The sequence below is a fragment of the Homo sapiens genome, chromosome 8 (assembly GCF_000001405.40).
Source record: "Homo sapiens chromosome 8, GRCh38.p14 Primary Assembly".
NCBI lineage: Eukaryota > Metazoa > Chordata > Mammalia > Primates > Hominidae > Homo > Homo sapiens.
Window position 1 is genome coordinate 30,981,621 of NC_000008.11, and position 16,788 is coordinate 30,998,408.

A 16,788-nucleotide genomic window follows, 5' to 3' on the forward strand; every position below is an offset into this window, starting at 1 on the left:
AAGGAAAGTTTTTTTTTTTTTTTTTTTGAGACGGAGTCTCGCTCTTTTGCTGGGGTTGGAGTGCAGTGGCGTGATCTCGGCTTACTGCAACTTCCGCCTCCCAGGTTCAAGCGATTCTCCTGCCTCAGCCTCCCCAGTAGCTGGGATGGGGCTTCACCATGTTGGTTGGCCAGGATGGTCTCGATCTCTTGACCTCATGACCTGCCCGCCTCGGCCTCCCAAAGTGCTGGGATTACAGGCTTGAGCCACTGCGCCTGGCCAGGGAAGGAAACTTTTTTGGGTCATCAATATATTTTTTATTATTATTATTTTTCAAATTCTCCTAGATCCTGAGGATGTGCTTATTCTTTTGATTGTGGTGAGGGTTTCATGGTTGTATACATAATCAACACTTACCCAATTGTACATTTGAAATATGCACAATGGTTTGTATGTCATTTATGCTGCAATAAAATAATTAAAACATGCATCTTTTATGACCAAGACACTTCACTTAAGATATGTGTAAAATGTGTTTAATATAGCCTTGGTTGACACTGTAAGAATCTGTGAACAATGCAATGCCCATTATTAGGGGATTATTTAAATAAATGTTGATGCCTTCATACGATGGAATTATAAAATACTAAAAAGAATTTTACTCATGTCTACACACAGAAAGATACCAAGTTATTTTAAATATAAGAAATAGACCGGGTGTGGTGGCTTATGCCTATAATCCCAGCACTTTGGGAGGTCAAAGTGGGCGGACTGCTTAAGCCCAGGAGTTCAAGATCAGGATGGGCAATATGGTGAAACCCCGTTTCTACAAGAGAAAAAAAATATTAGCTGGGCATGGTGGCATGTGCCTGTAGTTCCAGCTACTCAGGAGGCTGAGGTGGGAGGATTGTTTGAGCCCCAGAGGTCAAGGTTGCAGTGATCTGTGATCATGCCACTGCACTTCAGCCAATGTGAAAGAGTGAGACCCTGTCTCAAAATAAATAAATAAATAAATAAATAAATAAATAAATAAATAAATAAATAATTTGCTTGCTGCTGGAGATATACAATGGTACAGCCACTGTAGACAACAGTTTGACAGTTATTCCAAAAATTAAACATAGAGTTACCATATGACCCAGAAATTCCACTCCTCGGTATCATATATACCCAAGAGAATTGAAAATACATGTTCATGTAAAAACTTGTACATGAATGCTCATAGCAGCATTATTCATAATAGTCAAAAAGTGGAAACAACCCAAATGTCCATCTGATAAATGGATAAACAAAAAGTGCTATAGCCATATGATGGAATATTATTCATAAAAAGGAATAAAAAGGAATAAAAAGGAATGAAGTACTGGTATATCCTACAGCGTGGGTTAACCTGAAAGAAGCCAGACATAGAAAGCCACATATTGTATGATTCCGTTGATATGTAATGTCCAGAATGGGGAACCCCTAGAGACAGTGGATTAGTGGCTGACAGAGGCTGAGTGAGAGGAAGAATTGGGACTGATTGCTAATAGATACGGCATTTCTTTTTGCAAGGATGAAAATATTCTAGGTGATATGGTGATGGTTACACAACACAGTGAATATAATAAAACAACCAAATGCATACTTTCAAATAGCGAATTTTATGTTATATGAAGTACATATCAATTTCTTTTTATTACTAATCATCATTTCAGTAGAGTTTTAAAATACCCCAAAGGGTGATAAATATTAATCCATCCACAGAATTTCTCTTGCTTTTTAAAATATATTCTGATTCACACATGTAAAATAATGCACACTTATGAAAGAAAGTCTGAACTCCTATGGTGACCTTCACAAGTCCAAGTCAATTCCTAAAACAGGCAATGGTAAAAATACTGAATGATGTTGTACCACATATAGACTGACAAAAATGCAAAAGACTGTGTGAGGAATATCCACATGTTTCTGAGGGTCATTTCCCTGGAAACAGCTTCCTTATGGCCCTTGGAAGGTGGAAAAGCTCCTGTTTCATAAAAATGTGATAAGAGGTCCTCTTTTTCAGTAAACCATAGATAGATCCCATTGGTAAGGTCACCAGTCTCCAGAGATACATCTTTAACTGGAAAGATCCTGTAATGTACATGTGTGACTGTTGGTTTCCTGAACCCAAGGATCCAGGTTTGAATATTGATAGGTTCAGCTTTAGGATAAGCTATCGTTGTATCTATTACCCACTGGAGGCCTTTTGATTTGCTAATTCTTTAGCATCTCCTCTTGCTGGACTTCCATTTCCCTGTTGTGCTACAAGTGCATTCAGAATAATTTTAGTTGCCACAGATCTTTACAGAGTAACATGTGTAAGAAATGGCAAGTTATTTTTCTCTGCAAATGCCTGACTTGTTTCTCACCTCTTCCTGAGGAAGCCCCTTTCTGGAAACGAAATAATTCATTTTCAATCTCTGCTCCTGTAATTACTTTCTAAGTGCTTCTTGAGAAGCAGCAGCTGTTGGTCACGATAACATCTTCCCTGTCTTATAAAAAAGTCTCCGTGAACTAAAGAAACAATTCCAAAGTTTGTGTTCTTAAAAATATGATCCATCAACCACATCATCTGAGCAGCACCCAGTCCTTCGTCCTGGAGGCACATCATCAGTGCGCACACATCTGCTGTAGCCGGATGATTCCCCAACATCACTGCTTCATCTTTTGAGATTGCTTTAATATCTCTTCCCCATTCTTTTTTTTTTTTTTTTTTTTTTTTGAGACAGAGTCTAGCTCTGTCACCCAGGCTGGAGTGTAGTGGTGCGATCTCTGCTCACTGCAACTTCCACCTCCCGGGTTCAAGTGATTCTCCTGCCTCAGCCTCCCAAGTAGCTGGGATTACAGGTGCACGCCACCACGCCCAGCTAGTTTTTGTATATATATGTATTTTTTTGAGATGGAGTTTCGCTATTTTTGCCCAGGCTGGAGTGCAATGGCATGATCTCAGCTCACTGCAACCTCTGTCCCCTCGGTTCAAGCGATTCTCCTGCCTCAGCCTCCTGAGTAGCCAGGATTACAGGCACCTGCCACCACACCTGGCTAATCAATCTTTTTAAGTATTATTTTTAAAAAGCTGTGAAGAGCAAAAGTTGTAATGTTAAGAAAAGTAATATGGATATAGCATAATTAGGTATAGTAAAACATAATTTTACTTAAAAATTAAGGCCCTGTGTGGTGGCTCATGCCTGTAATCCCAGCACTTTGGGAGGCCAAGGTGGGTGGATCACTTGAGGCCATGAGTTTGAGACAAGCCTGGCCAACATGGCAAAAACCCATCTCTATTAAAAAAAAAAAATAGAAAAATTAGCTGGGTGTGGTGACACATGCCTACAATCCCAGCTACTCGGGAGGCTGAGGCAGAAGAATCACTTGAACCTGGGAGGTGGAGGTTACAGTGAGCCAAAATTGTGCCACTGCACTCCAGCCTGGGTGACAGAGCAAGACTCTGTCTCAAAATGTATATATATTCCAAATTAATTGATATACATACACATATATGCTTGGACATACAAAAAGATTTTTTTAATTATATTCATATGTTAATATATGTATATAATTAATTTGGAGGACTATTCATTGAACTGTGGAAAACGAATAGTAGAGTTTTGCTATTAAATATGTCATATCAAAATCATTTTAAAATCATCTTTTAAGTGAAAATCATTTTATACTTTCTATTTGTACGAACTTAGCTTTTTGTATATTGAAAGAAATGGTTTTCATTCAATAGATAAGATATATATGTGAGATATTTGTAATTTAAAATAGTTTGGGTTTTTTTTAATTATTATTATTATACTTTAAGTTTTAGGGTACATGTGCACAATGTGCAGGTTAATTACATATGTATACATGTGCCATGCTGGTGCGCTGCACCCACTAACTCGTCATCTAGCATTAGGTATATCTCCCAGTGCTATCCCTCCCCCCTCCCCCCACCCCACAACAGTCCCCAGAGTGTAATGTTCCCCTTCCTGTGTCCATGTGTTCTCATTGTTCAATTCCCATCTATGAGTGAGAATATGCGGTGTTTGGTTTTTTGTTCTTGCGATAGTTTACTGAGATGATGATTTCCAATTTCATCCATGTCCCTACAAAGGACGTGAACTCATCATTTTTTATGGCTGCATAGTATTCCATGGTGTGTATGTGCCACATTTTCTTAATCCAGTCTATCATTGTTGGACATTTGGGTTGGTTCCAAGTCTTTGCTATTGCGAATAATGCCGCAATAAACATACGTGTGCATGTGTCTTTATAGCAGCATGATTTATAGTCCTTTGGGTATATACCCAGTAATGGGATGGCTGGGTCAAATGGTATTTCTAGTTCTAGATCCCTGAGGAATCGCCACACTGACTTCCACAATGGTTGAACTAGTTTACAGTCCCACCAACAGTGTAAAAGTGTTCCTATTTCTCCACATCCTCTCCAGCACCTGTTGTTTCCTGACTTTTTTATGATTGCCATTCTAACTGGTGTGAGATGGTATCTCATTGTGGTTTTGATTTGCATTTCTCTGATGGCCAGTGATGATGAGCATTTTTTCATGTGTCTGTTGGCTGCATAAATGTCTTCTTTTGAGAAGTGTCCGTTCATGTCCTTTGCCCACTTTTTGATGGGGTTGTTTGTTTTTTTCTTGTAAATTTGTTGGAGTTCATTGTAGATTCTGGATATTAGCCCTTTGTCAGATGAGTAGGTTGTGAAAATTTTCTCCCATTTCGTAGGTTGCCTGTTCACTCTGATGGTAGTTTCTTTTGCTGTGCAGAAGCTCTTTAGTTTAATTAGATCCCATTTGTCTATTTTGTCTTTTGTTGCCATTGCTTTTGGTGTTTTAGACATGAAGTCCTTGCCCGTGTCTATGTCCTGAATGCTAATGCCTAGGTTTTCTTCTAGGGTTTTTATGGTTTTAGGTCTAACGTTTAAGTCTTTAATCCATCTTGAATTGATTTTTGTATAAGGTTTAAGGAAGGGATCCAGTTTCAGCTTTCTACATATGGCTAGCCAGTTTTCCCAGCACCATTTATTAAATAGGGAATCCTTTCCCCATTGCTTGTTTTTCTCAGGTTTGTCGAAGATCAGATAGTTGTAGATATGCGGCATTATTTCTGAGGGCTCTGTTCTGTTCCATTGATCTATATCTCTGTTTTGGTACCAGTACCATGCTGTTTTGGTTACTGTAGCCTTGTAGTATGGTTTGAAGCCAGGTAGTGTGATGCCTCCAGCTTTGTTCTTTTGGCTCAGGATTGACTTGGCGACGCGGGCTTTTTTTTGGTTCCATATGAACTTTAAAGTAGTTTTTTCCAATTCTGTGAAGAAAGTCATTGGTAGCTTGATGGGGATGGCATTGAATCTGTAAATTACCTTGGGCAGTATGGCCATTTTCACGATATTGATTCTTCCTACCCATGAGCATGGAATGTTCTTCCATTTGTTTGTATCCTCTTTTATTTCCTTGAGCAGTGGTTTGTAGTTCTCCTTGAAGAGGTCCTTCACATCCCTTGTAAGTTGGATTCCTAGGTATTTTATTCTCTTTGAAGCAATTGTGAATGGGAGTTCACTCATGATTTGGCTCTCTGTTTGTCTGTTGTTGGTGTATAAGAATGCTTGTGATTTTTGTACATTGATTTTGTATCCTGAGACTTTGCTGAAGTTGCTTATCAGCTTAAGGAGATTTTGGGCTGAGACAATGGGGTTTTCTAGATATACATTCATGTCATCTGCAAACAGGGACAATTTGACTTCCTCTTTTCCTAATTGAATACCCTTTATTAATAGTTTGGGTTTTTTTGGTTCTTTTTGAAACAGAGTCTCGCTCTGTTGCCCAGGTTGGAGTGCAGTGGTGCGATCATGGCTCACGGCAGCCTTGACCACTGGGGGCTCAAGTGGCTCTAACCTCAGCCTCCTGAGTAGCTGGGACCACAGGCATGTGCCACCACACCCAGCTAATTTATTTATTCATTTTTTTGTAGAGACAGAGTTTTGCTATGTTGCCCAGGCTGGTCTTGAACAGCTGGGCTCAAGGTATCCTCCCATCTCAGCCTCCCAAAATAGTCTCTGAAGTTTTAAAGTATTTGATTTTTTTTGCAATAGAAAATTGACAATTGAGCTTAAGAGTATTCACTAATACTTTAATATTACTTTTAAGTTTATTACTTATGGTCAGTTCCAATTCTAATTAGGGTGATTGTTTTCCTCCAGTTTTGAGTATAGGAATACAAATTATCTCCCTCTCAAACCGAGCAAAATAAGCCTGACCATTTCATTAATGCCCGAGATTTGCTTTGTGATCTCAAATGCCTCCATGCAATGGCATGGCAGCCCTGGGAGTGTGCCTCTCTGATCTCCTACTTCAGGGAGGGTAAGTAACTAAAGGCACAAACTGCTGTGTTCTGACTTCCATTCCTGTGTTCAGGCCAGGGCTCCACTTCCCCTTCACTGTTCCCATTGACTGCTCATGGCAGGATACTAAGGCAGGCCCATTTCTGAAGACATAGGACTCCTCTAAAAAGTACCTTTGGCTTAAGCATTCCCTGTTAGCCTTGCTGAATCTTCCTTATTGCAATGCTGCAAACTAAGCTCTTTGTTCTCTCCTTTATAGGGGTGGGATCATAATGGAGTCTGATGTCTCACCCAGCCTCCTCCAGCTCCCCATTTTCCCTCACCAGCATTTGACCCAGTACATCTCTTATGTGTCTAATCCTATCTTGGCTTTGGCTTCTCAGATGTCCTGTGCTACCAAAAGTAGTATCAAGAATGATCCAAGAAAACAGGTGGTAAGATTGTGATTTGGAATTGACCTACTAACCCTCCAGTGGGCAAAGAGGATATTAACTTGGTTGATAGGTGGGGTGTGGATAGTCAGTAGCATAAGGTGGTGAGTCAAAGGTGAAAGGTTTCATCGATGGTGACCTGGGAAGATGTCCTGGTGGGGAGGAAAGATGTTGCAGATGTGATGATTGAAGCATTTGAAACTTATGGAGAGAAAAATGTCCTCAAAGACAGCAGAATTGTTGGCTGTTTACTGCTAAGTTGTATTGCTGCTAGCTAAGGGATAATGAGAGCAGTTAAGCAAGCAGTAAATGGCTAAGTGTGGGAGGCAAGAGGCTTTTTGGCATCTTACAAGAAGGCCCTTAACTTCTGCAGTGTGGGAGAGCAGACACAGTGGAACAGGTGAAAATCAAATAGTTAGAACTGCAGAGATCCCTAGATGTTTGAATATTCAGTGAAGAATAGGTTGCCAGCGGTGGGGGCTGGGGGGTTTCGGGGAACACCTGGGACTCTGGGAAAACTTGGGACCCTGAAAACTGGGATGAGGGTATGTAGATGGAGGCCCTTGAATATATTGTCTAGGCAGACTGCCACCTTCTTTCCCAATCCTTTGGGCTTGCACAAGTGCCCCATCCTTTCTGGTAAGAGCTAGTGCTTCTATTGTGTAAGAAGATGCTGCAGAGGCCCCTCCTTCACAAGGCAACACATGTTTCCCAGTAGGTGCCCTCATCTCTCACCTGATACTTAAGGTTCAGTCCCAGCATAACATGGGTGGGTACATGCTGGGGACGATTAAGTAAAAAGGAGACTATGCACCAGATGAGCCACAAGAATAAGGCAGTGGGAGCCAGAGGAGGGCACCTTGGCCTGTACTTTGAGAGTGCTTGATCAAAGGGCTTGGAATGGAAATTTCTCAGAAACTGAGATCTAACACGTTGGCCAGGACCCCAGGGAACAGGGCAAACTCACCGTGAGGGTGGTTCTTAGAAGTCTGGGAAGAGTGATGACCAATGCATAGTGAAGGGGAAAATTCTGAGTTGCCTTTAGCAGGAAAGACGTCTGCAACAGGTCCAGGCTGCAGTGCAAGCAACACTGCTCATTGGTCCATAGGATCAGAGGAAGGGATAAAGAGGCTGAGGGAAGTGGGGGCTTGAGAATGAACCCTAGGAACATTCAGCCTCCTGCCACTTCAGTGACATTATTTAGGAGGTCTATTAGGGCATGCCAGGACATCTTCACCAAAGTAAAAAAAAAAAAAAAAAAAAAAGAAGCGGGCATCTCTTATATCCCTACTCCATACAGTAAGCTGAGGATCCTGGCAAACCTCTTTGGGTTCAGGAGACAACACATTCCACAGATAAGAATACTGCTGTGCCACATATACTGCCAGCTTTGAGTAGGTCTCAGAGCAGGAAAGGGCACTGCAACAGGTGAAATGGCCTTAGTTCTTAGTCTGCATGACTGGGCATATCCAAGCCTTTGGAATGTCAGTGTAGGGAAAAGAAGCAGTAGGAAAAGACAGAGTTTGTATCAAACCCCAGGGAGAGAATCACCTTGCAGCCCCTGGGATCCTAGAAGAAGATCATGCCAACCACTGCAGAGAGCTACACACCTTTTGAGAAGCTGTTATTACATGCCTGTAATACCCGCACGTTGGAAGGTCAAGGTGGGAAGATCGCTTGAGGCAGGAGTTTGAGACCAGCCTGCGTGATACAGAGAGACCCTGTCTCCATTAAAAAAAAATTTGCTAGGCATGGTGGTGCGTGCCTGCAGTCCCAGCTACTCGGGAGGCTGAGGTGGGAGGATTCCTTGAGCCCAGGAGGTTGAGGCTGCTGTGAGCTATGATCGCATAGGCAGTCCAAACCGCCTTATTCCTTTCACCTTCAATAGATTCATCAGCACCCTCTCCCCTCTCACATATAAGGCCATGTGGAAGTTCTCATAGGACCAGCTACAGGAGGAGGGAAAAGACTGAACTTGGTTTATAGATGAGGTGGGTCTGTATGTAGATGCAAACTGAAAATTGGTGAGGTGGCTTTGAAAGACAGTGGAGAGGGAGAATCTTCCCAATGGGAAGCAGTGTACCTGGTCATCTACTTTGCAAGGAAGAAGTGGCCTGGGTAAGCATATTTACAGTTCCTGGGCAGTGATCGATGGTCTGGCTATCTGGCCAGAAGCCTGGGAGGAAAAGGACTGGAAGACAGGGTCGAAGAGGCCTGGGGTAGAAGCTTGTGGGTGCACATATGGGAGCAGGCACAGACTGTGAAAACTTTTTTTTTTTTTTGAGATGGAGTCTTACTCTGTAACCCAGGCTGGAGTGCAGTGGTGCAATCTTGATTCACCGCAACCTCTGCCTCTTGGATTCAAGCGATTCTCTTGCCTCAGCCTCCCAAGTAGCTGGGATTACAGACATGCGCCACCACGCCTGGCTAATTTTTGTTGTTGTATTTTTAGTAGAGATGGGGTTTTACCATGTTGCCCAGGCTGGTCTCCAACTCCCAGCCTCAAGTGATCCACCTGCCTTGGCCTCCCAAAGTGCTATGATTACAGATGTGAGCCACCACACCCAGCCCAGACTGTGAAGAGTTTTGTATCACATGTTAATGTCCACCAGAAGCCATCCATCATGGGAGAGGCACTGAACAACCAAGTTGACAAAGTGACTCGGACAGTTGACCTGAATCAGACTGCCATTGGCCACCTCAGAATTGGCAGGATGGGCACAGCAATAGAGTGGCCATGGCAGCAGAGACAGAGGCATCCAACTAAGGGACCACTTCACAGCAAAGGAGGTGGATGGTGTAAGTAGAACATGAAAACCACACCATCCAAAGACTAGCATCACAGAATACAGAAATAGCTTGTGAGTCAGTTATGCTCCCGGTAGAAGGAAATTTGAGAGATGCATTTTCATAGCCACCACAGACTCCTATGGGCACTGAACAGCTCTAAGTCTCCACCCAACTGGCCCACAGATCCAGCTGTGGTGCTCTGAAATCTATCGTCACGTTTGCCCTGCAGGTGGGCTTCTCCTAGGCTGCTCCCAGCCAATAACTGGGTGTGACAGGGATATTAAGCAGGCTGAACCCTCAAGATGCTGGCCTCTTCTGAAGAGTGACTTTGGCTCAAGGACTCCCCCTAGGCCTGGCTGAAACTTGCTTATAATTGTGCTGCAGTCTAAGAAGTAACTTCCTTTCTACCTCCCTCCTCTTTCCTCCTCTCTTCCTCACAGGGGCAGACTTGCATCTGAGTCTGATGTCTCCTCCACCAGCTCCTTCTCCATTTTCCCTCACTGGCATTTCCTTTAATAAATCTCTTGCACATCTAATTCCACCTTGGAATCTGCTTCTTGGAGGACCCAGACTAACACAGATGGCATGTATATGTGCTGGTGGGTGTCTAAGGTAGAAAGGCAACTATGTCAATCTTGCATGCTAAGTGTAGTCAACTGGGAGCAGCTGCCAGGAGAGTGCTGAGTTGAGAAAGACTCTAGAGCTGTATCTGGCCATTTGAAATAAATACTATGGCCTATTTTTTTTTTTTTAAGACAGGGTCTTGCTCTGTCGCCCAGGCTGGAGTGCAGTAGCATGATCACAGCCCACTGAAGCCTCGACCTCCTGGGCTCAAGTGATCCTCCAGCCTCAGCGTCCTGAGTAGCTGGGACTACAGGTGCATGCCACCAAGCCCAGCTAATTTTTGTATTTTTTCTAGAGATGGGGTTTCACCATGTTGCCTAGGCTGGTCTCTAACTCCTGGGCTCAAGCAATCCGCCTGCTTCGGCCTCCTAAAATGCTGGGATTACAGGTGTGAGCTGCTCCCAGTTGCTATCGTTTATTGGCAAGGTCTACCATGAGGGTTAAAGGAGGAACATCTTGATCTTTCATTAGTCACTTCTGCTGAATTTGGATGTTCCCTAAATCTCTATTAAGAAGGGTCATGGTCAGAGAGCTATTGTATGTAAAACTTTTGTTAATGATGAATGATATTTATAATAAGAGTGAATGATTAATGATACTTAATGATTAATGATGATTATAAAAAATAACAGGCCAGGCACAGTGGCTTATGCCTGTAATCCTAGCACTTTGGGAGGCCAAGGCAGGAGGATTGCCTGAGGCCAGGAGTTTGAGGCTGCGGTGAGCCATGATGATGCCACTGCACTCCAGCCTGGGAGATAGACTGAGACTCTATTTCTCAAAAACAAACAAACAAGCAAAATAATAACAATGATTATACATTAATGTAATGATATGATTATGTAATATGATTAATGTTAATGCTTAATGATGAATGATATTTATAAAACAGTATTCTATCATTGAAAATCCTAAAGTGATACTAAATGCAAGATAATATGTGGCTTAATCATATAAGCAATAATTTTCACACTGAAAGATGGTGGGTCACATGGAATCTAGAAAAAAAGATTTAAAGCATAAGGATTTGTTAGTGGTTTCCATCCCTGACTTGGGGTGACTGTGCTCTGAGCCAATATGCTGATGTGGTTATTCCTGTTTCTTGGCAGGTCTGTATCATGAAGCCCATCATAACATGATGCCATTCATGAATATTAGTCATTCCCCTTTACCTGATTTTATGCTTGCCAATCAATGTTCTGACATTAAGCAGGTTTTAGAAGTAGATTTTCCAGCTGGGTGCAGTGGTTCAATGCCTGTAATCCCAGTACTTTGGAAGGATTGCTCAAGCCCAAGACTTTAAGACCAGGCTGGGCAATATAGGGAAATGCTGTCTCTACAAAAAATAAAAAATTAGCCAGTCATAGTGGCACGTGCCTGTGGTCTCAGCTACTTGGGAGGTTGAGGTGGGAGGATTGCTTGAGCCTGGGAGGTTGAGGCTGCAGTGAGCTGTGATCCTGCCATTGCACTGCAGCCTGAGCGACAAAGTCAGACGCTGTCTCAAAAAAAGAAAGAAAAGGCAGATTTTCCTACTGGAAAGAGAATGTGCTGACCAGTTGATATAGGTATTCTAGTCAGTCTAGCATTTGATTTCTTTCCTTTAAAAAAAAAAGTACTTTATAAATTATAAAATAATACAAGCTTATCATGAAATAATATTCAAAAAGTATAAAAGCAAACTTCAAAGTTCACTTGTCATGCACAGCTTCTTTCCAATCCACTCCCTGGGTGTACCAATTTATTTTTTGTTGTAAGTTAATTGGTTTCTCCATTGAATATCTGATATTCAAGATGTTTTCTTTATGACCTTGTTTAAAAGGAATCTCTTGTGAATTCACTCAGAATGAACTAACAAAACCGAGTTTCTTTTTTTCTTTTTCTTTTTTACTTCTTCCTTCATCAAAGTCTTCTTAGCTAAAAAAAAACCTGACCTTCCAAATGCACAAAACTGAGGGCCAGCCTTTTCATTCAGTCCTTTTGATCTTCATGTTCCAGTGTTTTGTTAAGTCTTTTATGATGGGAAATTTGCTTCGCGAAAAGTGTAAGAGGAGAACAATTTGGCATAATATGTGTAGTGCTGAATTCACTGAATTTCATGATTTATTCAGTCCTATGAACTACCACTCCCTTATTTTGTGTGTGTTGTACTACTTTTTAGTTATTTTCCAAAAGTCTTTTCACCTCTCTTGAATCCCTGCCAAGGATAAAGGATAAAGTAGGAGGTAAGAAAAATAACTTTAGTCCTAGTGCAAGTCAGTATGCACCTACTTCAACAGTTTTTTAAAAAGATCGCATGAAGACAAATCTGAAATTATGTAGACTGCAGATTGGCTTTTTATTATTATTGGCCATTTTCAAACTCAAAGCAATTTCTGATGAGAAAAATTACTTCCCTAATACAAGTACTGTTATGCTTTTAGTGTACATGGAATTTATTACGAAAGATTTTCCTTACTGGAAAGAGAACATTTGGGTCTGTTTTTGAAAATGCTTTCCCATAAGGATTTAGGGAAAACACCTTGAGCATAAGGTCTCTAAGGGAAAATTACTGTTTTAGGAACAGAAAAGACAACTTACCTAAATAATGCTAATAATGCAATGAAAATGGATATAATTACGTAATTTAAAAAATGGTTTCACTTAGAGAGGGACTACATTATTTTTATAGAGGAACAAAACTTACAAAATATATTCATGTTATTTAAGGCTGATAAGTTTTTTAAAAAATTTCACCACTACCAACGAAAGCTGATATGCATTTTTCAGGATAATCTTTTTGATGGGACAAACAATGATGAAAATTAATACAGAAATCTGGTTGACTGTGGGTGTAAAATTAGAGATATTTTCATGTAGATTAAACAGATTTTTCTTCCAAAAGAAAATGTGCAATTAATTTGTAGTACATTTATTATTTACCAGTTTTCATAAAATGGAATACAGTTAAGGTAGTTACAAAAATATATTGTAGAAATATCTTTGGTGAGAGGCTGTGATTTAGTAAATATTGCATTTATTTCAGATAGTCACAGAAGCAAGCTTAGGGTTCACACTGGCACTATTCTCTAAACTTCATTTTCTGATGTTAGAAGTTAGACACAATTTAATAGCTATTTGAGGCAAAAATTTACTGGGCCTGAAACTCTTTATATAATAAAGAACCATAGTGGTATGGGAATATCATTTCAGTCATCATACCTGCTAGATTCTTTGACTGATTGATAGGTTTGATCATCTTCTATTTATGGTCAATGATTGTTGCTCAAGGAGATTTAATACATTTGTTTCGATTTTTTCTTTTCAAATTTTAACATTACCCTTGAGTTAGGCAAAGTACCAAGGTCGGAATGCAAATTTACATAGTGCCTTTATATTGAATTTATCCCTGGCTTGGAAGAAACAGCCCTCTGCCCTCATGAAGATATTAGCAGGTTCACTTGGCCTTCTGTTGTGATTTAATATAGATGCAGAAGATAAAAATCCAATAAAACCATTGTCATGAGTTTATCTACTATGACATTCTGGCATATGATGTCAGTTTGTCCTGGAAAATTCAAAATTAATTTTTTTGTCCCTATTTTCATATATGAGAAGTGGAACTTTTAATATCAGCATATAGAAATGGCCTTTTCAATGTCATGTGAGTTGCAATAAAGGTTTTGAAGGCATACTTGCTTTCGTGCAAGTGTTATCTCCCGGCTCAACCAGGTGATAAAACCTTATTAATAAATTACAATAAAGGCACTGTAATAGACTGGATTGGCACATTTTTGATCTTCTCAACTTACTTATTTCCAGTTCTGATAGGTCTAGTTTCTATAGATCCTACCTAAACATGATTTTGGAAGCCAGACAAACTGCATTGAAATTTATAAAGATACCACGAATTTGGGGGCACAAATGACATAATGAAATAAACACAAAATCAACTTTTGGGGCCCAATAGAGCTGAGATGCTTTCCTTAAAATAATTAAGAATCCAAACTAATCACACATATAAACAAGTTTATTAGATTGTCAGTGATACTTTGAGACAAATTCAAGTTATTTCATTTTACTTCATATAAACAGAGGAAGGGAGGAAAGTTTTAAACTTCAAGCTTTGTTCAGCATGTGTGCAGTTAGCATCCACAAAAGCACCATTGGGTATGGGAGAATTAGCACCACAGAATTTTAGGACCTAACTGTTAACATGCATCACTGAAAAACTTGGAACATAAAAACTGAAGTAGTACGTGGTATGGTCTATTATAAACAATACAAGGCAATTTATGATTTGTTCTCATACAGTACAATACAATCACAATAAATGAGAACCTTTTAAGAACAATACGGGACAAAAACCACCTTGCACCCTGTTAACACTAAAGCAGTTACAGATTTAAAAAAATGTTTCTGGTAAGAGGCAGTGGGTTGAAATTATCCCTCCCCCCTCAATTTTTAAATTCAGAGTTATATAGTTACATGATCTCTTAAGAAAGTATTTTCAAATCTATATGTCTCTCTACCTCAAGGCTGACAAATGGTGGTTTGAAAACGAAAGGCTTGATGAATTAAAAAAAACAAAACCCAAAAACTGGATAGAGTCGAAAGGTACTTCAATGTGGTGGAAATTATTCAACATAAGATCAGTTTGGAAATGATGCCAGTGGTGTTGATACTTGTCTTCCCTTCCGTGGAGGAATGTCAAGTACTGAGGCCTTACATTCATGATGAACTTCAGTTCATTTCTTTCACCGAATGCCTTTATTCTGAGGTGTAACATAAGAGATTTATTCCTTATTCCTCAACTGTTTTTGTAGTATCATGGGGCTGTTCCTTATGCTTGATTTGACAACAGTGAAAAAGGTTGATATTCTCTCTGGATTTGGGGTAATTTGTGAGCTAAAGAAAAAATATTAATTTGAATTTAGCAAACATGAAGTTTTCAAGGGAGTTCCACTATTTTCACAGTACAAACCCATAATTAATCTCGTTGAAAACCTTTCTGTTAGAAAGCATGTAACAAACCCTCAATTTTTAGTTGTGTCTAGGCCAATTTTGGCCTATTTGAAGCTACTGCATAAGAAATGTGTAATAAGGATTGATAGATACAGGTATATTCAGATCTCAATGCATTGATGCCAAGGAAAATATAATTTTACTCACCAAGAGAAGAATATACCTTGAAGCATCTATGCAGACACATGAATCAATCATGTATCTGCCCACCTTCTAATTCTGGAATAGTGATAACAGGGTCGTTTAGGAAAAAGTACTCAATTACAGTACGGCAGCAATTTTATGTTGTATATATTTAACAGCAAAACATTTTTGAAAATAGAAATCAGTACTATATGGTAAGTTTACAATTCACCATTTCTATATTTGTAATACATGCGTTTATTTGTTTTCCAAGTTTAAAAAAATCCCACTAGGACCAACATCTTTCAGAACAACAATCTAACATTAAACAAAACTTCCTAAGGAAAATATTTAGCATCACAGAGAGTTGAGAAACGTCTGTTACTCAGCATCACAAAATACTCAATAGGTCTACATTGAAGATTGTTCATGCCATGACATTAACACACCTTTGGGTTAATATATCTTGTTTTTAAAAGAAAACAAAGAACCAAACCAAACAACTGACATGGAATTTGTGTTTGGTCTCCCCTTCACAAGGATAGACCTCTGATAAACTTGACTCCTTTCTGTAATCATGTAATGATCAGACTGTCTATGAAACTGCACGTACATTTAGTAAAACATTTAAAATTAGAGATGGAAAAATGGCCACCACAGAGAATGACTTAAAGATAAGTAAACTTACAGAAAAATGTGTTTTTGTAAAAGTGTACTGCCCCTCAAGCAAAAAAGAAAGTGGAGTTTGTCCACTTTGAAATAATTTTCTGTTGAAAAAATTTCTTGGATAAAAGCCTATCCTTATGAATGTCAGAAAGATGTTAAGGTTTCACTTGAGAGGGTTGAACCCTTTTGAAAAAATTATCCTATGCTTTTTCTGCTGAACTAAATTCCTTGTATAAATCAAGCACTAATTTTCTGAAGAGGAAACAGCTATACACAGCAGCACATCCATGTTGATGATTTAAATTTGATAGTTCACCAGGCATGGCTGACTTGAGCAAAAAAGAAACAAACAGATGTTTTAATGTTTTAGAATTACACTAAAAAATCTCAACTAAAACAAAATTGAATTATAATGGACTGGCTTAATAATTATGATTGCCTTTACATTTGATCAACATTTCAAGACAAGGCAGTACCAATTAAAAGTGAGATTTAAAAATAAAAACTGTCCAAAAATTGTTCAATGAAAAAGCCTTCAAATTTTACAACATTTTAAAATCTCAAATGATTGTAGACTAACTTAGACTAACAGTCTTGTTATCACATATACTTTTGTTATTCTTGAGTTTTATTTCTGTATTGTTCATTGGTTATATTGGTAACAATTTTTCTGTTAAGTTACAATAGTTTTTGAATTAACACATTATACCATAAGAGGCTTCAGAAAAACATGTAACTAGGATAAATTTATAAAAGGATAAAGAATAATTTAAGGGATTTTTGACATATTCTATACAGACGAATA

General features: G+C 39.4%; 1 protein-coding gene and 1 pseudogene across 2 annotated transcripts in view; both read right to left on the reverse strand.

The window, feature by feature from the left end:
- Positions 1,650-2,701, reverse strand: LPGAT1P1 (lysophosphatidylglycerol acyltransferase 1 pseudogene 1; annotated as a pseudogene).
- PURG (purine rich element binding protein G) overlaps positions 14,182-16,788 on the reverse strand; it is a 37,555-nt gene continuing 34,948 nt past the window's right edge. For both annotated transcript variants that reach the window (NM_001323312.2, NM_001015508.3), the window contains one exon: positions 14,182-15,077. In NM_001323312.2, the coding sequence (NP_001310241.1) occupies positions 14,973-15,077 (105 nt within the window). In that variant the 3' untranslated portion in view covers positions 14,182-14,972. The remainder of the gene's footprint in view (positions 15,078-16,788) is intronic.